The following is a 20,478-nucleotide window of genomic DNA, read 5'->3' as shown; positions in this document are numbered from 1 at the left end:
CCTGGTAGTTCTTTGATCAACTAAAATCTCCATCCTAATAAAATGCTGTTGTCAGAACTACCCAGATTCACTGGCAAAAATCTAATCACTGACCCAAACCTGTAATTCCGCGCATGCTAATGAAATTAAGCAATAATTTACATAATTAATCCAATCAGCCATTGGATTGCATTAAACTCAGTTAATGAAGAGGTCAGATACCATTTATTGGTATCATTTAGTCAAGCACCTATCAAACTCCTTCCCCACACCACACTGGACAAAACTAAAGTTTTGGTGTTTTAGAGAATGTGCCAGCCTAAGTTTAAATTGTTTTTGTTCTGGGTCTTGGTACAGTCATTAAAAGATTTAATTAAGCAGTTACAAAACGGAACTACTTTTTGGAAATACTAGCAAATACGTTGTTCTACTGTATGTATTTTTACACGATCCGAAATAGGAAAAATGACCCATTGGAAATGAGTTTAAGACTACGACTGACCTACACAAATTCTAGGTCAGATTATCTTTTCATTGGGGGAATCTTAACATGATTGGTTGAAAACAATAAATAAAAGTGGCGCGGAGGACGAGCGCAGTGGCTCACGCCTGTAATCTAAGCACTTTGGAAGTCCGAGGCAGGCGGATAACTTGAGATCAGGAGTTTGAGACCAGCCTGGCCAACATGGTGAAACCCCTTCTCTGCTAAAAAAAAATTAGCCGGGCGTCGTGGCAAGTGCCTGTAGTCCCAGCTACTCCGGAGGCTGAGGCAGAATCGCTTGAACCCGGGAGGCGGAGGTTGCAGTGAGCTGAGATCGCGCCACCACACTCCAGCCTAGGCGACAGAATTAGAAGCCGTCAGGTAAAAAAAAAAAAAAAAAAAAAAAAGTGGCAGGAACCAAATGAAGATAGTATTAACAACCAACCAGGTTTTTCCTACAACAGTTCTGACCAATCAGGATCAGATCATCGTTATAAATTCTGGTAGAAGCCACTGCTCATTCAGCTGCTTGCTTTCAGAGCATAGCTTTCTCAACTATGGCCCGGACGAAGCAGACAGCTCGCAAGTCTACCGGCGGCAAGGCACCGCGGAAGCAGCTGGCCACCAAGGCAGCGCGCAAAAGCGCTCCAGCGACTGGCGGTGTGAAGAAGCCCCACCGCTACAGGCCAGGCACCGTGGCCTTGCGTGAGATCCGCCGTTATCAGAAGTCGACTGAGCTGCTCATCCGCAAACTGCCATTTCAGCGCCTGGTGCGAGAAATCGCGCAGGATTTCAAAACCGACCTTCGTTTCCAGAGCTCGGCGGTGATGGCGCTGCAAGAGGCGTGCGAGGCCTATCTGGTGGGTCTCTTTGAAGACACCAACCTCTGTGCTATTCACGCCAAGCGTGTCACTATTATGCCTAAGGACATCCAGCTTGCGCGTCGTATCCGTGGCGAGCGAGCATAATCCCCTGCTCTATCTTGGGTTTCTTAATTGCTTCCAAGCTTCCAAAGGCTCTTTTCAGAGCCACTTACATTCTCACTGAGGATAGCTGTCACACCATTGGTCGACTGTCTTAAATCAACTTTAAAGCAGGGATAAACTGGCGGAAAGTCGTCAAGGGTTGTTCATTCTGATTCCTTGCAGTGTCCTTTGTCTTCTAAGACGGTCCTTTTCACTTGTCCTCTGTGACCCATCTCACAAGGGTCTCACTTTCTCCGAGGAAAGTCAGCAAATCTATATCCAAGGTCAATCCGCTTCAAGGGGAAAGCCAAAGTCCTTCCTGCACATGCTGTCCTTTGGGGATAGCATCTCCAGAACCCCATAACTAACAATTAGATTACAGGTTAAATGAGATGCCATTTTTAACTGAAACGGGCACTGCCCTTGGGTCCCCTGGAAGCTTGCTGAAAATCACGGACATGAGGCCGGTTGATTTAGCACATAGACACGGGAGACTTCAAAATGAGGACCCACCCACCAATGAGATACAGAAGTTTATATATCACCTTGAGATTATAGAAAGAGTGCAAGCTTGGAACCTGGGAAAACAGATTATAGGAGGGAGAAAGGAAGAGACTTGGCTAGCAAGGGGGGCGGGTCTTGTTATGTAGATGAAAACACATAGCTAGTAGTCCTCAGAAAAAATAGATGGTAAATGTCTCTTGTCAGGGTGGGCGTGGTGGCTCATGCCCTCCACTTTGGGAGGCAGTGGAAGGAGGATTCCCTGAGCCCAGGAGTTTGAGATCAGCCTGGGTAACAGCAAAATCCTGTCTCTACGAAAAACAAATAAAAAGAAAGGTGGGTGTTGCAGCGCACAACTGTAGTTCTAGCTGCTCAGAAGGCTGAGGCAGGAAGATTGCCTGAGCCCACGAGTTCAAGGATGCAGTGAACTATGATTGCACAATTGCACTCCAGCCTGGGTGACAGAGCAAGACAGTCTCTTAAAAAATAAAAATAAAAAAGGATCAGACTCTCAGTTAATCTCTCCTAGATCCAGGAAAGGACTAGAAAGGGAAAGCCTGGCAACAAATGGAAATTTCCCCCACAAAAGACTGATTTGCAGGGCCTCATCGGTCTCCGGGCCCTGAGGCAGCCATTTCAAAATAGGGCAAAGAAATATCTTTTGGGGTAAAATATTTTTATTTCCTTCACTTTACTTTCCTCAAGAGACTGCTTTAAAGGTTAAATGCAGTAATATATTCTAGGGCCTTGGACAGTGCCCCAGAAAACACATTAGGTACACAAAAAATATTTATTGAACCTGATTTTATCTCTGAATCTTAGTTTGGAGTGGCTCTTGTGGGAGACTAAAATATGCCACCCCGAAGTATACTTTGTCATATTTCAAGATGGCTATTCAGAGAAACTGCAGAAATAGGAATAGCTCTGAAAAGCTCTTTTTTGTAAAAGAATTGTATACCTATCAAGGAAATCTACATTAGTAAACAGTGGATGCAAGTACTGGCTTTCTCTGAGGCTCCCTTTCCTGCCTAAAGAGGAATCTAAGACTGACTCAAAGGAGAGAAAACTACTTTGTCACAGGCTGTCAGCTATTCTGCGATTACCTGAGAGACTTTATCTACATAACAAGAAAACCTTTGCCTTTCCTCCCCTGGTGCCTTTGCCCTTCCTCCTTCACCCTCCTACAACATGTGTCACCACCTCCTCCAAACCCCCAGAAGTCTCAAGACCTTTTTTCTTTCTGTAGTCTCAGAATGGCATAAAAACGTCAATTATTTGGCCCTTCTGAGAGAGAAATAATATAGGGTGGTCACAAGAGAATAGAAGATTCCATGCAGTAGTTTCACATGACTAGCAAAAAGGAAACTGTTGAAATAGCTGCACAAACTAGGAGCCAAAGAGACCCTGAAAACCGAAATGTTTGCCAAGCTGGCTAAGTCCTACTTGACCCAACATGGCACTGGATTTGACCTAGCTTTCACCTGGGACCTTATTATACACTTATTAACATACAAATCAGACATCCACCAACACCATGACAGTTCCGAGAACACCCATATTTCATGGAAAAATGGATGGCACCACAGTTCTGAGAAATTGTCACCCTTTTCCAGAAATCTTCATGGATATTCCACCCCTTGGTTAAGGAAACCCATAAAGTTAGAAGCCCCAATCACTCCTGGGCAAGACTGACTCTCTTGAGTAAGCCTGCACTTCCCTTCCTTGAGCATGTATTTTTCACTTTGCAATAAACCTCTGTACTTTTTCTGACTTGTCCTTGGATTCTTTCTGGCAGCAGTGGCAAAGGCCTGGACACTGGCTGGGATCAACATCCTAATGGCATTTGGGTACCTCCCCTAGCCCACCGGTATCATTTCTTGGAGTACTGTATTTTGTGAGGCTCCTGTGCATATGCAGGTAATAAATTTGTATGCCTTTTTTTTTTTTCCTGTTTATCTTTCTACTGTTGGTTAATTCCAGAGACTCAAATTATTGAAACTTCAGAAATCAAAGCAGAAGTTTAAAATGACCTTCACCCTCAGAAATGGGGAAATACACCTAAATTCTCTGATAAGATTGGATTGAGAAGTCACACTGGTCAAGATTTGGGAAATAATCCAGTTTGATCAGTAACACAGAAACAAATCACTTTAATGATGTCACTTCTGCTAATGGCCAGTCTTTCTTATTTTTTATTTTATATTTATTTATTTTTATGATTTCGGTTAGCTTCTGCTTCATAAAGCAACATTTTCCAATCTTGTGTTCCAAAACAGGAAACATTTCTGTTTAGGAGGCAGAAAAGATGAGAATAAATGCTTAAGAACCACTCCTTCCTCCCCAGAAGTGTTGAAGCCCTGAAAGGGTATAAAACAAGACAGCAAGCAAAGTCACCGAAAATATAAATAAAACTTCTTTTTTTTTTTTTTTTTTTTTGAGACAGAGTCTTGCTCTATCACCCAGGCTGGAGTGCAGTGGCACAATCTCAGCTCATTGCAAGCTACGCCTCCTGGGTTCACGCCATTCTCCTGCCTCAGCCTCCCGAGTTGCAGGCGCCCGCCACCATGCCCGGCTAATTTTTTTGTATTTTTAGTAGAGGCAGGGTTTCACCATGTTAGCCAGGATGGTCTCGATCTCCTGACCTCGTGATCTCCCCGCCTCGGCCTCCCAAAGCGCTGGGATTACAGGCGTGAGCCACTGCGCCCAGCCTATAAATAAAACTTCTGTAGATTTCCACTCAAACGGAATCTGCTACAAAAACTGTTTCCCAAAAATATGGTTCTCAATATGAAAGAGATTCTAGGCCTGACCCGGTGGCTCAGGCAAGTAATCCCAGCACTTTCGGACGCCAAGGTGAGTGGATCACCTGAGGTCAGGAGTTTGAGACCAGCCTAGCCAACAGGACGACAAAACCCTGTCTCTACTAAAAATACAAAAATGAGCCGGATGGGGTGACACACACCTGTAATCCCAGCTACTCAGGAGGCTGAGGCGAGAGAATCGCTTGAACCCACGAGGCAGAGGTTGCAGTGAGCCAAGATTGCACCATTGCACTCCAGCCTGGGCAGAGGTTGCAGTGAGCCAAGATTTTACCACTGCACTCCAGCCTGGGCAACAGAGTGAGACTCCGCTTCAAAAAAAAAAAAAAGATTCTAAAATGTAAAAAACATGTTTTTCTATATATCTGCTGATAATAATAAGGTTTGTTATCTGCACAAGACTAGAAATACTGAATTTTCTCAGACAGAAACTAGTACAAGCTACATTAAAATTTTAATCTACATAAGTAGTGTAGAGAAACAAGAGAAAAACTTCCCCTTTGCCCTCTGAAGTTTCACTGAGAAATCATCTCACAAAGTGAAGATTAATAAGAGAAATGGCAAATGAATTTATGATGTATACATGGGAGAGAATCACTGAGTGATCATCCAATATCCCAGTAAGGCCCAAATACTTATATAGCCTTATTTCAGAAGGGAGAGGAAAGATGGGAAATATAGGTAATTTTGTTTACGGGCAATAAATAATTAGTAGGGAGAATAAATGGCTCGGAGAACAGAGATTAATTGTAAATAATTCTCTTGGGAAATTGACCTAATCGCCCCCCAAAGGCCACATTTAATATCACCACATTGGAGACTAGGCTTCAACACTGAATTTTGTGAGGACACAAACTTTCAGTTTATAGCACTGGGTATAACTTAGTGTTGGATGGGAGATGGAGAAACACTCTCATGTGGTGGTTTACTGATGGTGGCTTTGCAAAAGACATTTTGGAGAACCATTCCTTCTGTGCCCAGGCCTATGCTCCAAGAAAACTCTCCTATAGACCCATATGAGGACATATCAAGAATATTCATCAAAGTGATATTTGTAATAACATGAAAGTAGAGGTAATTTAAGTGAATGAATAAGTAAAATATAGTGGATGAATACTAACAAATGCTCTCTTTTCTGAGGTCAAGATATAAGCAAACGTCAAAAACAAGAGCTGAACTCAAGACCCCATCAACCTTACTGTTGCCACTCAATTCATACTGTAAAAGAAAAGGGCTGGGCGCGGTGGCTCACGCTTGTGAGCCCAGCACTTCGGGAGGCAGAGGCAGGCAGATCACGAGGTCAAGAGATGGAGGCCACCCTGGCCAACATGGTGAAACCCCGTCTCTACTAAAAATACAAAAAATTAGCTGCGCATGGTGGCGCGCGCCTGTATACTCGGGCTGAGGCAGGAGAATCGCTTGAACCAGAGGGGTGGAGGTTGCAGTGAGTCGAGACTGTGCCATTGCACTCTAGCCTAGTGACAGTGAGACTCCATCTCAAAAATAAAAAATAAATAAATAAAATTTGAGGGACTTCTAAATTTATTATGCCAAAGGGGAACTTAAGCCCTGAAGACTGATTCATGTAGCATATTTTCAATTCTGCTTCTCAGATTATAGTTTAACTCTTTTCCTCATTGTTCTTGTTCTGTAAATGTCTAGCAGAGATCAGACGTCCCCACTTCCAATCACTGATCTTAGTTGTGCATTATCTGCCTCCTTCACTGTCCTTTACCTAACTCAGACCAGATGATGCTCAAGACCTAATGACAGTTACATCTTCTTGAGGCTCAGAAACTAATAACCAAAAATATTGTGGGTTGACATGCTGAACTGAAGAAGCTTCAAGTTCTCTCTGACCATGCCTTCCAAAATCTCTAAATCCTCTATCTCAAAGCACTGGATGAAGTTGTTCTCTGAAGTTCTTTTATCTGCCTAATGTCCCAGCCCACCAACGAGAACAATTGTTTTTTATTCTCTTCCCTGTAATCTCATTACCTATTATAGAAAAAAAATATCAAGAATGTAACCATTGACCGGGCGCGGTGGCTTACGCCTGTAATCCCAGCACTTTGGGAGGCCGAGGTGGGCGGATCACCTGAGGTCGGGAGTTCAAGACAAGCCTGACCAACATGGAGAAACCCCGTCCCTACTAAAAATACAAAAAATTAGCTGGGCGTGGTGGCGCATGCCTGTAATCTCAGCTACTCATGAGGCTGAGGAAGGAAAATCGCTTGAACCCGGGAGGCAGAGGTTGTGGTGAGCCGAGATTGCGCCATTGCACTCCAGCCTGGGTGACAAGAGTGAAACTCCGACTCAAAAAAAAAAAAAAAAAAAAAAGTAACCATACCTGAACAGACCCTTTCACAAGATAATGTTGTCTCCCAGGAGCATTCAAATTCCAAAGAGAACTATTTACAAGTTAATCTCTTTTCCCCAGTCCACTCATTCTACCTAGTAATCATTTATTGCTCCTCAACAGAATCCCTCTTCTCACAACCCGCCGGTAACTTGTTTAGCTATGACCCAAGCCCTCATTCTTTCTGTAACCTTTTTCTAGCTTAAGAATGTTTGTGGCTGGGCGCGGTGGCTCACGCCTGTAATCCCAGCACTTTGGGAGGCCGAGGCGGGTGGATCACGAGGTCAGGAGATCGAGACCATCCTGGCTAATACGGTGAAACCTCGTCTCTACTAAAAATACAAAAAATTAGCCTGGCGTGGTGGCAGGCGCCTATAGTCCCAGCTACTCGGGAGGCTGAGGCAGGAGAATGGCGTCAACCCGGGAGGTGGAGTTTGCAGTGAGCCGAGATCGCGCCACTGCACTCCAGCCTGGGTGACAGAGCGAGACTGTGTCTCAAAAAAAAAAAAAAAAAAAAAAAAAAAGAATGTTTGTAGGCTGGGTGCGGTGGCTCACGCCTGTAATCCCAGCACTTTGGGAGACCGAGGCGGGTGGATCACGAGGTCAGGAGATCGAGACCATCCTGGTTAACACGGTGAAACCCTGTCTCTACTAAAAATTACAAAAAATTAGCTGGGCGTGGTGGCGGGTGCCTGTAGTCCCAGCTATTCCGGAGGCTGAGGCAGGAGAATGGCGTGAACCTGGGAGGTGGAGCTTGCAGTGAGCCAAGATCGCGCCACTGCACTCCAGCCTGGGCAACAAAGCGAGACTCCATCTAAAAAAAAAAAAACAAGAAGAATGTTTGTAAACCTTTGTACACTGTTGGGAAGTGGGTAAATACTCTGTAGTTGTTTCCCATGTGCATGTTAACACATTTGTAAGGCTTTTCTCTTATAAATCTGCCTTTTGTGGTAAAACGTTGTAAATGACTACAGGACACCAGGGAAGACCCCTTATCTCTTCACTATTGATTCTTATTATAGATGAACTTCCCTGTTTTCTCTCTTACACAAAGACTTCGTCACTATCATATTGTATAAGATGGAATTTTAAATATACTCTTTTAAATGTGAAAGAAAATAAAAACAAGCTGTAACTAATCAAATTGTACCTCGTAAGCCACCTTTGTACAGAAACTTAAAATTCTATTAAATGTCTTTGTTTTCTATCTATATAAGCAAGATCTTTAGTTTTATCTTTGGAGCTCTGATTGATTCCATTGATCCTGGAGTCTGTTTTCCAAATGGCTATTTCCAGCTTTCCTTTGAATAAACTTAAAAAAAAAATTCTTCTTAATAGAGACAGGGGTCTTGCTATGTTGCCCAGGCTGGTAGGCTGGTCTGAACTCCTGGGCTCAAGCGATCCTCCTGTTAAAGAAAGGCTTCCCAATACAGACCCCAAGAGAGGGTTCTTGGATCTCTTGCAAGAAAAAATTCAGGACAAGTCCACAGTGCAAAGTGAAAGCAAGTTTATTAAGAAAGTAAAGGAATAAAAGAATGGCTACTCCATAGAGCAGCCCTGAGGGCTGCTGCTTGCCCATTTTTATGGTTATTTCTTGATGATATGCTAAACAAGAGGTGGATTATTCATGCCTCCCCTCTTTAGACCATATAGGGTAACTTTCTGACGTTACCATGGCATTTGTAAATTGTCATGACCCTAGTGGGAGTGCAGCAGTGAGGACGACCAGAGGTCACTCTCATCACCATTTTGGTTTTGGCTGGCTCCTTTACTGCAATCTGCTTTATTAGCAAGGTCTTTATGGCCTGTATTTTGTGCTGACTTCCTATCTCATGCTGTGACTTAAAATGCTTTAACCGTCTAGGAATGCAGCCCAGGAGGTTTCAGCCTTATTTTACCAGCTCCTATTTAAGATGGTGTTGTTCTGGTTCACACGCCTCTGACATTCCCGCCTTTGCCTTCCAATGTGATGGGATTACAGGTGTGAGCCACCACGCCCAGCCAAATAAATTCTTTACAACTAAATTCTGACCCTTTCAATGATAGGTTGAAAGACTTTCAGGAGAAACTAAGAGGTTTCCTGATAAAGAGTTTTGCAAGTCAGTTTTAAAACCATAAGCACTCGGCCAGACGCGGTGGCTCGCGCCTGTAATTCTAGCACTTTGGGTGGGTTGACTGAGCTCAGGAGTTCGAGACCAGCCTGGGCAAAACGGTGAAACCCCGTCTCTACTAAAAATACAAAAAATTAGCAGAGTGTGGCGGCCTGCGACTGTAGTCCCAGCTACTCGGGAGGCTGAGGCAGAATTGCTTGAACCTGGGAGGCGGAGGTTGCAGTGAGCAGACATCGCGCCACTGCACTCTAGCCTGCGTAACAGAGCGAGACTCCGTCTCCAAAAAACCAAAGCCATAAGCACTCAAAGAATATGGAACATATGGCATAGTAAACGTCAGGCAAGAGGGCGGAGGGCGGTCTCGGTGGCTCACGCCTGAGATCCCCGCACGTTGGGAGGCTGAGGCAGGTGGATCACCTGAGGTCGGGAGTAGGAGTCCAGCCTGACCAACACGGAGAAACCACGTCTCTACTGAAAATACAAAATTAGCCAGGCACGGTGGCGCATACCTGTAATCCCAGCTACTCCGGAGGCTGAAGCAGGAGAATCCCTTGAGATCCACCATTGCACTGGAGCCTAGGCAACAAGAGCAAAATCTGTCTCAAATAATAATAATAATAATAATAATAATAATAATAATAATAATAATAAAAGGGCACGGTAAGACAAAGAGAAATCAAGAAGGGCAGTGGATTCGGTATCTTCAAAGTTCTTTAATTGGTCTTTTTGTTTTGCTTTTTTAGAGACAGGGTCTCACTCTGTCATCCACGCTGAAGTGCAGTGGTGCCATTGTAGCTCACTGACACGTCGAAGTCCTGGGCTCAAGTAATACTACCCCCTCAGCCTCTGGAGTTGCTGGGACTATAAGCCAAATCACCGTACCTGGCATCTTAATTGGTCTTAATACCACGTGGGGGTATTATAAGCTTAAAGATGCAGGCAGGGCGCTTTGGCTCATGCTTGTAAACCCAGCACTTTGGGAGGACGAGGTGGGCTGATCACTTGAGGTCAGGAGCTGGAGGCCAGCTTGGCCAACGTGGTGAAACCCCGTCTCTACCAAAAAATAAAAAAATTAGCCGAGCATGGTGGTGCGCGTCCCAGCTACTTGGGAGGCTGAGGCAGGAGAATCGCTTGAACCCAGGAGGCGGATGTTGCAGTGAGCCGTAGACCACACCACTGCCCTCCAGCCTGGGCAACAGTGAGACCCTGTTTCAAAAAACAAAACAAAAACAAAACAAAAAACAAAAAAAAACACTTAAAGATGCTTTGAGGATGAGAGCAGAGATGGTGATTTCTCTGAGGCAGGGCCAAGGAAGAAGGAAAACTTCATGTTTCCATGTCTCATGTTTAAGTTTCTGACCTGGCAAAGGCCAATGAAGTAGAATGCAAGATTTCAGAGAATAAATTAATGGAGAGGAAAAGACTGAATAGCAAATGGTGTTTTGTTTTGTTTGAGACAGCGTCTTACTGTGTTTTATATATATATATATATGTGTGTGTGTGTGTGTCTTTGTGTGTGTGGTGTGTTTATGTGTGTGTATGGGGGACAGAAGAAGTGAGAACTAGAAGTACTAATAAACAATTTGTGGATGAAGACCAAAGAGGGGGAAAAAGCCATGTAAAACACAACCTATCAATCAACCAATTCTAAAGCCTTAAGAAAAACAAACAAAACTGGGTGTCAATGAGATAAATAGGTGGCATATCAGATGGAAATTTTTAACTATATTAAAAAGGATTGAGGCCAACACTGCAACCACCTTTGCAAAATTATGACAGTGAAAGAGATCTATCTTAATCAACTCCATCTTGCTTCTAACCTCATGGCTGTCCTTGTTCATTCCTGGGCATAGGCTGAACTAACTTTGGGAGAAACATAGTTTATAGTAAGCCCAGCACTTTGGGAGGCCTAGGCAGGTGGATCACGAGGTCAGGAGTTCAAGACCAGCCTGGCCAAGATGGTGAAATCCCGTCTTTGGTAAAACTACAAAAATTAGCCAGATGCGGTGGCAGGCGCCTGTAATCCCAGCTACTCGGGAGGCTGAGGCAGGAGAATCACATGAACCTGGGCGGCAGAGTTTGCAGAGAGCCGAGATCGCGCCACTCCACTCCAGCCTGGGTGACAGAGTGAGACTCCGTCTCAAAAAACAAAAAACCAAAGACCATAACAGCCCTTTCCCAGAGAAGACCTCCTTCTTGCTTGGGGACTAGACACAAACATGAGCCACAAGATTAGAAATTATGGTTTAGGAGACACGCAGCTGGAGGCTACAATATTCAGACCCTCCCTAAACTGCTTTTAAGATCAGCACTTGAGATGTTTTGCAGACCCTGCACTTGATGAATCAGCTGGCACCACCCAGATCGATAAAGTGGTTCATCTGATCTTGCAGTCCCCACCTAGGAACCGACTCAGTGCCAGAAGACAGCTTCGACTCCCTATGCTTTCATCCCTGACCAGTCAGGACTCCTGGCTCACTGGCTTCTCCCCATCCACCAAGTTACCCTTAAAAATTGTACTTCTGTTCCAAAGGCTGGGAAGAACTAAGCTGCCCCAGCTCCTCCCATTTCTTGGGCAGGGCTCTTTCCTGTTGTGTGTTCCTCCAGGGCCTGTCCTGTACCGAGCTCTGTCTGTTCCAGCCTTCATCCTTCCTGGCTGTTGCTTTTCCTCTTAAGGGCCTTAGAACTCTTGCTCTTCCTGGGCTGTGGGGGAATGAGTGTTCTTGCCATTTGCCAGCCTAATGCGCATGGTTTCTGCCCCTGATAACAGGAGTGAGTGAGCCCCTCAGACCTGCACTCTGGGTGTCTCCTGCTTTCAAAGGTTCTTAATAGTGAATGCTTTAAAATTAAAGTCACCACAAAATGGAAGTTTTCCCAGGGTGGAAAACAAGAGGAAGTGCTGCTGTAATTGGGAGCACAAGGGGCCTCCCAAAAAGGAGCCCCACCTCAGCATCACTGCCTTATTTGTGGCCTCCGTGGGGTGAGTGGGGTTCTCTCCTCCCTCCCTCCCTCCTCCTGGGGTGGGAGGGCGCTCCTATTCCCATCTTTGTGTTCCCTGGAGGCAGGTATCACAAAACATTTGTGAATTGCTTTAGGTGCAGGGACACCACCCACTCAGGACTTTTCCCCATCATCCCTTCCATTGCCACACCCTAGATCCAGCCTCAGGAACTAATAAGTTTTGAGAAAAGCAGGCGGTAGAGCAGCAGCTTGGTGCTCTCAGCGGTGGCTGGCTGGCATTTTTCTCTAGCATTGTGGTGCCACCTTCCCTCCTTGTCCCAAGGTTATAAGGCCTTGTCTTTCTCTTTGGAATCATAAAGTGGAACAGAGTCCCCAGAACTCGTGTGGCCATTTCCGCCAGCATCACTCCCCGGTGCCTGTGGGGTCCCGGTGTACCTAATGGGAGAACGATCCCATGTGCTAGCCAGAAATATACCGTCTCTTGAAGGAAAGCAGGAGCTCAGACTTTTAGAGCCAGCTGTGGCTTCGGACCCAAGGCCTGACCTAGGCTGCTATCCTAATATTGCAGAAGGGGCCTCTCTTCCAAGCCCCACCCTAAGGGTTAGCCCTTGGCCAAATCTTTTGCCATCTGGTCCCAGCTAGGCTTTTCTGACTAAATAAGCAATAACAGGGTCTAAGCTGACTGAGTTGCAAGGACCCTTTCCACCCTCCCTTGGATCTCCATGTTTTTCCAGATGGAGGAAGAGCATGTGCCACCCCCTGTCCTAACAGGCTTGTCCAAGTGCTTGGTGTGGGACCCAAGACCAAAGCCCAGGATGGCTTGGTGGGAGTGTCCCTGCTGCATCTGCATGAAGCCCCTGCTTTCTAGGCCTCACTCCCATCAGAACCCTGCCTGCCCACCTGCAACTCCCCCACAGCAATGCCATTCCCACTTGCCCCAGAGAAGCTACTCAGCCAAACCTAGCCAGGGTCTGTTCATGTAGACCAGAGCCAGCCTAGTCATTATTTGCTGTCGGGTTTCCAGTTTCACTGTGTGTTAGGGCGAGGGATGATTGTAAAATTTGCTCCTCAAAGGAATCAGGCCAGACTCAATTTTGGAGGGCAAGACAGGGAGGAGGCCGCTTCATCCCAGACTCTCTTCTAGGGCTTCCCACCATCAGCCCCTCCCACTTGAGACTGGTCTTCAGGAGGCAATAGGCCACCATGCCTGGTCAGCATCAATTCAAGCCATGCCAGGAATCTGCCTACCTGCCAGGTTCAGTTCCTTTAAGGTGCCTCTTAAGGGACACACTGTGTCTCTCTGATTGGGCTTCTAAATCAAAAGCCTGATGTTCGTGTCCCTCTCATAGGGGGAGCTTTGGATACAGGACCAGTTTGGAAAAGGGTCAGGTAAGGGTTTCCACTCTGCACATTGTAGAGGGGACGCTCGGTAGCCCATGGGTCCCTTACTAAAGAGGTTGAGTGAATTTGCCTTCAGTTAACCTGGGACCTTCTGTTTAGCTTCCTTCTGCTTCCCAAAGATTTTAAGCATTTTGTAAATGTATAAACTCACCTCTGGCAACAGTGGCCCAGATGCTGCTTTGTGCTATGTAAAGGCAGTCTTTCCCTGGGAAATGGATGCTATTCTATTCTGCTGCCCCTACCTGTTCCTGAGGCTTCATTTAGAAAGAAAATACCCTCAGAAGGCTGTCTGGCACCCAGTGTCCTAGCCAGGCCAAATATATGAGAAAGGTAAGTCCATTTTCCCCTTCAGGTCCTCAGTGGATGACTTAACCACTGCTGTCCCTTGGTCCCTTTTTCCTAAACAGGGGTTTAGTTCTGTCTTTTTATCCTTTTTTCTAAATGCTGGTAAATATCTACATTCAGCCAGGAAGAGGAGGCCAGAGGTCGGGCCAGCTGCCCCATTCTTTTAACGTTGTAGGGCCTGCCCCTGGAGTGGACCTTCCTCTTTGGGCCTCGTCAGCTTTTTTGCTTATCATATTCCATTTTGTGCCACTTTCCCCCTTCAAGATGCCATTTGGAGGGTAGGGGATCTGCTTTCCACTGTGAGTGGGCTATGAGATTCTGACTACCTTGCTTACAGATTCATGGTTTGATAAATTTGTTGCATTCAAAAACTTGTAATGCAGGACGCCATTAAGTGTCTGTTTAAATTTTTGGATTATTTATATTACTTACAATTAATTAATAAAAGTGGGTTTAAAAAACCTAAAAAAAAAAAATTGTACTCCCCGGGCAACCCCCTCGGATCCCCTTCCATGCTGTGGAAGCTTTGTCCTTTCGCTCTTCACAATAAACCTTGCTACCGCTAAAAAACAAAACTGTACTCCCCGAATGCCTGGCTCTGCGTGAGTTACTCTTTCTCTATTCCAATTCCCCTGTCTTGATAAATCGGCTCTGTCTAGGCAGGGGCAAACTTGGCGGTTAAAATACTCTAAAGTAAGGACATTAAGAAACTGTCAGAGACAACTGCAGATCAGCAAGCATCCCTCAGAACATCGAAAAGATAAGCACACTTCATTCATTCATTTGCTTAAGCATAGAAAGAATTATATGGAAATGAAAACATTGGCAACATTTCTCTTGGAAAAGTAAAAGTTTTTTTTTTTTTTAATTTTGAGACGGAGTCTCGCTCTGTCGGCCAGGCTGGAGTGCACTGGCGCGATCTCGGCTCACTGCAACCTCCGCCTCCAGGGTTCAAGCGATTCTCCTGCCTCAGCCACCAGAATAGATGGGACTACAGGTGCGTGCCACCATGCCCGGCTAATTTTTTTGTATTTTTAGTAGAGACAGGGTTTCACTCTGTTAGCCAGGATGGTATCAATCTCCTGACCTGGTGATCTGCCTGCCTCAGCCTCCCAAAGTGCTGGGATTACAGGCGTGAGCCACCGCACCTGGCCAGGAAAAGTAAATCTTTTAAATCTCTTTTTAAAATATCTTTTTAATTTCTATTATTTATTTCTTTTGTTTTCTTTTTTCCTAGTCAATCTTGAAGCATGGTAGAAGTACAACTTTTTTTTTTTTTTTTTTTTTTTTTTTTTTTTTTTTTTTTTTTTTAGACAGCTTCTTGCTCTGTCACTCAGGCTGGAGTGCAATGGTGCAATATTGGCTCACTGTAACCTCTGCATCCTGGGTTCAACTGATTCTTGTGCCTCAACCTCGCGAGTAACTGAGGTTACAAGCACAGGCCACCATGCCCAGTTAATTTTTTGTGTTTTAGTAGAGACGAGGTTTCATCATGTTGGGCAGGCTAGTCTCACTCTCCTGGCCTCAAGAGATCCACCTGCCTAGGGCAGTACCACTCTTTTTTAACGTGACGAGAATACACAATTTATCCCGATTAAACAACAAGGATATACTGAGCAACTGTCATTTCAATTAACATTATCATGTGAGGAAAACAAAAAGGAGTCATTTAAAAAGTACTTAATTTAAATGAAACAAACTTTCTTTCTTTTTTTTTTTTTTTTTTTTTTTGAGACGGAGTCTCGCTCTGTCGCCCAGGCTGGAGTGCAGTGGCGGGATCTCGGCTCACTGCAAGCTCCGCCTCCCGGGTTCACGCCATTCTCCTGCCTCAGCCTCCCAAGTAGCTGGGACTACAGGCACCCGCCACTACGCCCGGCTAATTTTTTTGTATTTTTAGTAGAGACGGGGTTTCACCGTTTTAGCTGGGATGGTCTCGATCTCCTGACCTCGTGATCCGCCCGCCTCGGCCTCCCAAAGTGCTGGGATTACAGGCGTGAGCCACCGCGCCCGGCCACAAACTTTCTTTTTAAATTAAAAAATCTATTTGTTTGCATGCTGGTAGGAGAAGAGAACTAACAAAGTATCTGATTTAACGATTTAACATAGAAAATTTAGTAGGGACCGGATGTGGTGGCTCACACCTGTAATCCCAGCACGTCGGAAGGCCGAGGTAGGTGGATTGCTTGAGCCCAGGGGTTTGAGACCAGCCTGGACAACATGGTGGAACCCCATCTCTACAAGAAGTACAAAAATTAGCCGGGAATGGGTGGTGGCTCACACCTGTAGTCCCAGGATCTGGGGAGGCTGAGGTGGGAAGATCGCACTCCAGCCTTGGTGACAGACCAAGAGCCTGCCTCAAAAAAAAAAAAAAAAAAAAAAAAAAAAAATTTACACCTCTGAAAAACACAGATGTCAATGCTGTAGGGTACAGAAGTTGTGAGACCATAAGGGTCACAGCCTGAACTAATAACAAAAAAGAGGTTAATCGCCGGGCGCGATGGCTCACGCTTGTAATCCCACCACTTTGGGTGGCCGAGGCGGGTGGATCACCAGGTCAGGAGATAGGGACCATCCAGGCTAACACGCTGAAACCCCGTCTCTACTACAAATACAAAAAATAAGGCCGGGAGCAGTGGCTCGCGCCTGTAATCCCAGCACTTTGGGAGGCCGAAGTGGGCGGATCACGTGAGGTCAGGAGTTCGAGACCAGCCTGGCCAAAACGGCAAAACCCCGTCTCTACTAAAAATACAAAAATTAGCCGAGCGTAGTGGCGGGTGCCTTTAATCCCAGCTACTTAGGAGGCTAAGGCTGAAGAATCGCTTGAATCCGGGAGGCGGAGAATCGCTTGAACCCGTGAGGGGGAGATTGCAGTGAGCAGAGAACTCACCATTGCACTCCAGCCTGGGGTGACAAGACCAAAACTCTGTCAAAAAAAAAAAAAAAAAAAAAAAAAAAAGGAAAAAGAGGCCAGCCTAGCTCAGTGAGAAACTGATTAACTATTACAACATGAGTATGTAATGTTTTGCACATACAGTAATCATAGAGTAGTTCATAATGTACTTGCAGAGACTGATTTTTAGAATAAAATTAGATATTTGCTAAAGAGGTAAATAATCATACACATTTGAAATATAAAAGGTAAACATTACTGAGAAACGAAATCTGATAGCTGGAAGGCAGGGCAAGGCAGAGCCAGCCTAGGTCAGGAAGGTCACACAACATTTATTTGAAACTTTTTTTTGAGACGGACTCTTACTTTGTTGCCCAGGCTGGAGTGCATGGAGTGCAGGGGCTCGATCTTGGCTCACTGCAACCTCCGCCTTCTGCGTTCAAGCGATTTTCTTGCCTCAACCTCCTGAGTAGCTGGGATTATGGGCGCCCTCCACCACGCCAGGCCAATTTTCTTTATTTTTAGTAGAGAAGGGGTTTCGCCATCTTAGCCAGGCTGGTCTCGAACTCCTGACCTTGTGATCCACATGCATCGGCCTCCCTTCTGGCTGGGATTACAGGCGTGAGCCACCGCGTCCGGCCATTTGAAACTCTTTTTCTTGGAATAAAGTCATCCTCGGTCTTTTCCTCCTGCACTTTATTTGTAAATGTAAAAGACAGGGTTTCTGGGCACAGCTGATTTCCTAGTTCAACAGAAAAGAGGAACATGAGGGAGCTCAAGCGGCACCTTCACAATTCTAAGGAAATACAGGGTAAAAGCCACCTTTCTTTCTCAAACAGCTTCCTGAAGTGTTTCTAGGTGGAATGAGGAAAAAAAAATAGAAAGTTCTTGCCCCAAAAATGTGGTTGGCGAGGGAGAGAAAGGAACAGAAAGGACAGCTACAGAAAGAGTAAAATATAAGGAAAAGAATAGAGAACCAAATTTGAGAAAGGTGAGGAATCCCACCTTGGAGCTATCATCAGGCGTCGTCTTTTGCAGTCAGCCACTCCATAGGCTGATCACTTCGAGTTTGTACGGAAGCAGTTTCTACACGCTATTTCACAAATGCCCGAAACGACTGTGATTACCCCTCTAGAGATGGCGCCATTTGATTCCAGCAGCCACAAAGCACTAGAACAATCGATGCTAAGAGGTGACAGGAAAAACAGGCTGCAAAGACCCAGACAATGGAATGCAGCGGTGGTCAGCCTAAAACACTGTAGAAGGGCAAGATGAGCTGAGTAATTTTTAACTGGGCATCATTTTTAGAAACTGGAGTTTAAGTACCCCCTTTTCCATTTTTTCCTGAAGTCGTGGGCAGGGCGCAAGGTCTGTGAATCGGCCGACCGGATGCAGCTGGTGTGGAGAGTTCCCAATCAGGTCCGATTTATTACTATATAAAGTACTGCTGCGAGGCTTGCCGTGTTGCATTTTGTTTAGTACAAGACATGTCTGGGCGCGGCAAAGGCGGGAAGGGTCTGGGCAAAGGAGGCGCTAAGCGCCACCGCAAAGTTCTGCGCGACAACATTCAGGGCATCACCAAGCCCGCCATCCGACGCCTGGCACGGCGTGGAGGCGTTAAGCGCATCTCAGGCCTTATATACGAGGAGACACGCGGAGTTCTTAAAGTGTTTTTGGAGAATGTAATCCGCGATGCAGTTACCTACACGGAGCACGCCAAACGCAAGACAGTCACAGCCATGGACGTGGTTTACGCGCTCAAGCGCCAGGGCCGCACCCTGTATGGCTTTGGCGGCTGAGTGTTTTACTTACTTACACGGTTCCTCAAAGGCCCTTCTCAGGGCCACCCATGAAGTCTGTGAAAGAGCTGTAGACTAAAGATAGTTAATTTCTTAAGAACACTTAAACGTATGGCAGTTTTGGCAAATTAGCGATTCCACATAAGCAGTCGCTGAAGTTTGAGGTTCGGTGCCCCTTTCAGCATTACTTAGTGGTTAAAAGTGCCGGCTTCTCTGATACACGGCCAAATCTATAACGCCTCTCTGGTTTTTGCAAAAGTCATAATGAAACAGCCGGTCTCATTTATCTTGTATCGATTACTTTACCGCTACCAATGCGAGGGCTGTGTAACTATGACACTGTGGTCCGCAACGCCCAAAATGTTTTAATATCGCCCTTTACAGAAAAAGTCGGCCAACTTCTAAAACATTAAGTACGTTTAAATTTGAGAAATACTGGCATACCACAACGCTCGAATTTCATATCCCCTTCAATGCCTCCATTTACAAATTTACTCTAGTTTCACTTTTCCTTTACGTTCTTTAACTTTTTGTCAAATCAGTAATGACACCTCGTAATTAAAATAGTGCAAGGCAAGTTTAGATTTATCAAGCTTATATTTAAACAGGATTTTGATGCATGAAAAATCCTAGACTTTTGGGGGATTTTTTTTTGTTTCCGTTTTTGTTTTTCTTTAGCTAGCAAAACCATTTTACGTTTCTTGACCCAAAACAGAGGCGGAATGTCTCCCTTTCACTAGCAGATTAAACTGGGAGCCAATTCCGTGTGTGAGACGTGGCATGGCACAGTCTACTGTCCAATCAGAACGCGAGGGCAGCTATAAATACCGGGATGATCAGTTTTTTTCTCTCATTTGTGTTGAGTAGGTACGTCTACTTAGCCATGGCACGAACAAAGCAAACAGCTCGCAAGTCCACCGGCGGCAAAGCGCCGCGCAAGCAGCTGGCCACCAAGGCGGCTCGCAAGAGCGCTCCGGCCACCGGTGGCGTCAAGAAGCCCCACCGCTACCGCCCCGGCACCGTGGCCCTGCGCGAGATCCGCCGCTACCAGAAGTCGACCGAGCTGCTAATCCGGAAGCTACCTTTTCAGCGCTTGGTACGGGAGATCGCACAGGACTTTAAGACCGATCTGCGCTTCCAGAGCTCGGCGGTGATGGCGCTGCAGGAGGCTTGCGAGGCCTACCTGGTGGGGCTATTTGAGGATACCAACCTGTGCGCCATTCACGCCAAACGCGTCACTATTATGCCTAAAGACATCCAGCTTGCGCGCCGCATCCGAGGGGAGAGGGCATAAATATTCCTATCAGCCCAAGAAGTCTGTCCAACCCCAAAAGGCTCTTTTCAGAGCCCCTCAATTGTCACCAAAAGGAAGCTGTAGCTTTTGAGACGTGTCTTAGCTCCATGTTAAATACAAGCTGTGGACAAAACGTGGTAGTGGCCCAACACACTATAATGCAGGAGTCAGGTCACAGGCTGTTGGTATGCTAAATCAATTTCACATACAGAACCTGTTCCTACTGATAAGGATTATCACTCAAAAAAGACATGTCATGGGGTCAATTTTACAGATGAAGTTTAGTTTTGAAAAGTATTCCTGTTTTTATCCTTGAGGAATGTGTCTCCTGCGTATCTACCTGCCCCTACTGAAGGGAACAAGTAGCACAATGAGTGTCCACAGGCTCTGGTGAGGCCGAGGCAGGCGGATCACAAGGTCAGGAGATCAAGACCATCCTGGCTAACACGGTGAAACCCCCCTGTCCACTAAAAAAAAGACTGCCGGCCGTGGTGGCACGCGCCTGTAGTCCCAGCTACTCGGGAGGCTGAGGCAGGAGGATCGCTTGAACCTGGCAGGCAGAGGTTGCAGTGA

The 20,478-nt window shown here is 45.7% G+C and overlaps 3 protein-coding genes and 1 pseudogene across 3 annotated transcripts, besides 9 other annotated features; all 4 read left to right on the top strand.

The window, feature by feature from the left end:
* Positions 748 to 1,392: an enhancer, noted in NCBI's record as "H3K27ac hESC enhancer chr6:27858196-27858840 (GRCh37/hg19 assembly coordinates)". NCBI's record gives its function as "activates a minimal SCP1, AML or CMV promoter by ChIP-STARR-seq in primed H9 embryonic stem cells {active_cell/tissue: H9 hESC(primed)}" and the evidence as "EXISTENCE:reporter gene assay evidence [ECO:0000049][PMID:30033119]".
* H3C12 (H3 clustered histone 12) lies at positions 984 to 1,495 on the top strand. Its single transcript, NM_003535.3, has one exon. The coding sequence runs from the start codon at positions 1,018 to 1,020 to the stop codon at positions 1,426 to 1,428; it is 411 nt and encodes a 136-aa protein (NP_003526.1). The 5' UTR covers positions 984 to 1,017; the 3' UTR covers positions 1,429 to 1,495.
* Positions 1,012 to 1,231: an enhancer, noted in NCBI's record as "active region_24335". NCBI's record gives its function as "activates an Ori minimal core promoter by ATAC-STARR-seq in GM12878 lymphoblastoid cells {active_cell/tissue: GM12878}" and the evidence as "EXISTENCE:reporter gene assay evidence [ECO:0000049][PMID:35858748]".
* Positions 1,393 to 2,037: an enhancer, noted in NCBI's record as "H3K27ac hESC enhancer chr6:27857551-27858195 (GRCh37/hg19 assembly coordinates)". NCBI's record gives its function as "activates a minimal SCP1, AML or CMV promoter by ChIP-STARR-seq in primed H9 embryonic stem cells {active_cell/tissue: H9 hESC(primed)}" and the evidence as "EXISTENCE:reporter gene assay evidence [ECO:0000049][PMID:30033119]".
* Positions 1,452 to 1,751: an enhancer, noted in NCBI's record as "active region_24334". NCBI's record gives its function as "activates an Ori minimal core promoter by ATAC-STARR-seq in GM12878 lymphoblastoid cells {active_cell/tissue: GM12878}" and the evidence as "EXISTENCE:reporter gene assay evidence [ECO:0000049][PMID:35858748]".
* Positions 2,038 to 2,682: an enhancer, noted in NCBI's record as "H3K27ac hESC enhancer chr6:27856906-27857550 (GRCh37/hg19 assembly coordinates)". NCBI's record gives its function as "activates a minimal SCP1, AML or CMV promoter by ChIP-STARR-seq in primed H9 embryonic stem cells {active_cell/tissue: H9 hESC(primed)}" and the evidence as "EXISTENCE:reporter gene assay evidence [ECO:0000049][PMID:30033119]".
* Positions 12,992 to 13,216, top strand: HCG13P (HLA complex group 13 pseudogene; annotated as a pseudogene).
* Positions 17,996 to 18,045: an enhancer, noted in NCBI's record as "active region_24333". NCBI's record gives its function as "activates an Ori minimal core promoter by ATAC-STARR-seq in GM12878 lymphoblastoid cells {active_cell/tissue: GM12878}" and the evidence as "EXISTENCE:reporter gene assay evidence [ECO:0000049][PMID:35858748]".
* Positions 18,077 to 18,714: an enhancer, noted in NCBI's record as "H3K27ac hESC enhancer chr6:27840874-27841511 (GRCh37/hg19 assembly coordinates)". NCBI's record gives its function as "activates a minimal SCP1, AML or CMV promoter by ChIP-STARR-seq in naive H9 embryonic stem cells {active_cell/tissue: H9 hESC(naive)}" and the evidence as "EXISTENCE:reporter gene assay evidence [ECO:0000049][PMID:30033119]".
* Positions 18,126 to 18,295: an enhancer, noted in NCBI's record as "active region_24332". NCBI's record gives its function as "activates an Ori minimal core promoter by ATAC-STARR-seq in GM12878 lymphoblastoid cells {active_cell/tissue: GM12878}" and the evidence as "EXISTENCE:reporter gene assay evidence [ECO:0000049][PMID:35858748]".
* Positions 18,276 to 18,662, top strand: H4C13 (H4 clustered histone 13). Its single transcript, NM_003546.3, has one exon. The coding sequence runs from the start codon at positions 18,300 to 18,302 to the stop codon at positions 18,609 to 18,611; it is 312 nt and encodes a 103-aa protein (NP_003537.1). The 5' UTR covers positions 18,276 to 18,299; the 3' UTR covers positions 18,612 to 18,662.
* Positions 18,596 to 18,645: an enhancer, noted in NCBI's record as "active region_24331". NCBI's record gives its function as "activates an Ori minimal core promoter by ATAC-STARR-seq in GM12878 lymphoblastoid cells {active_cell/tissue: GM12878}" and the evidence as "EXISTENCE:reporter gene assay evidence [ECO:0000049][PMID:35858748]".
* Positions 19,464 to 19,965, top strand: H3C11 (H3 clustered histone 11). Its single transcript, NM_003533.3, has one exon. The coding sequence runs from the start codon at positions 19,495 to 19,497 to the stop codon at positions 19,903 to 19,905; it is 411 nt and encodes a 136-aa protein (NP_003524.1). The 5' UTR covers positions 19,464 to 19,494; the 3' UTR covers positions 19,906 to 19,965.
* Positions 19,966 to 20,478: the final 513 nt, after the last annotated feature.

The sequence above is a fragment of the Homo sapiens genome, chromosome 6 (assembly GCF_000001405.40).
Source record: "Homo sapiens chromosome 6, GRCh38.p14 Primary Assembly".
Taxonomy (NCBI): domain Eukaryota; kingdom Metazoa; phylum Chordata; class Mammalia; order Primates; family Hominidae; genus Homo; species Homo sapiens.
The sequence above is the reverse complement of the archived record's forward strand: the minus strand, read 5'-3'. Positions and strand labels throughout refer to the sequence as shown.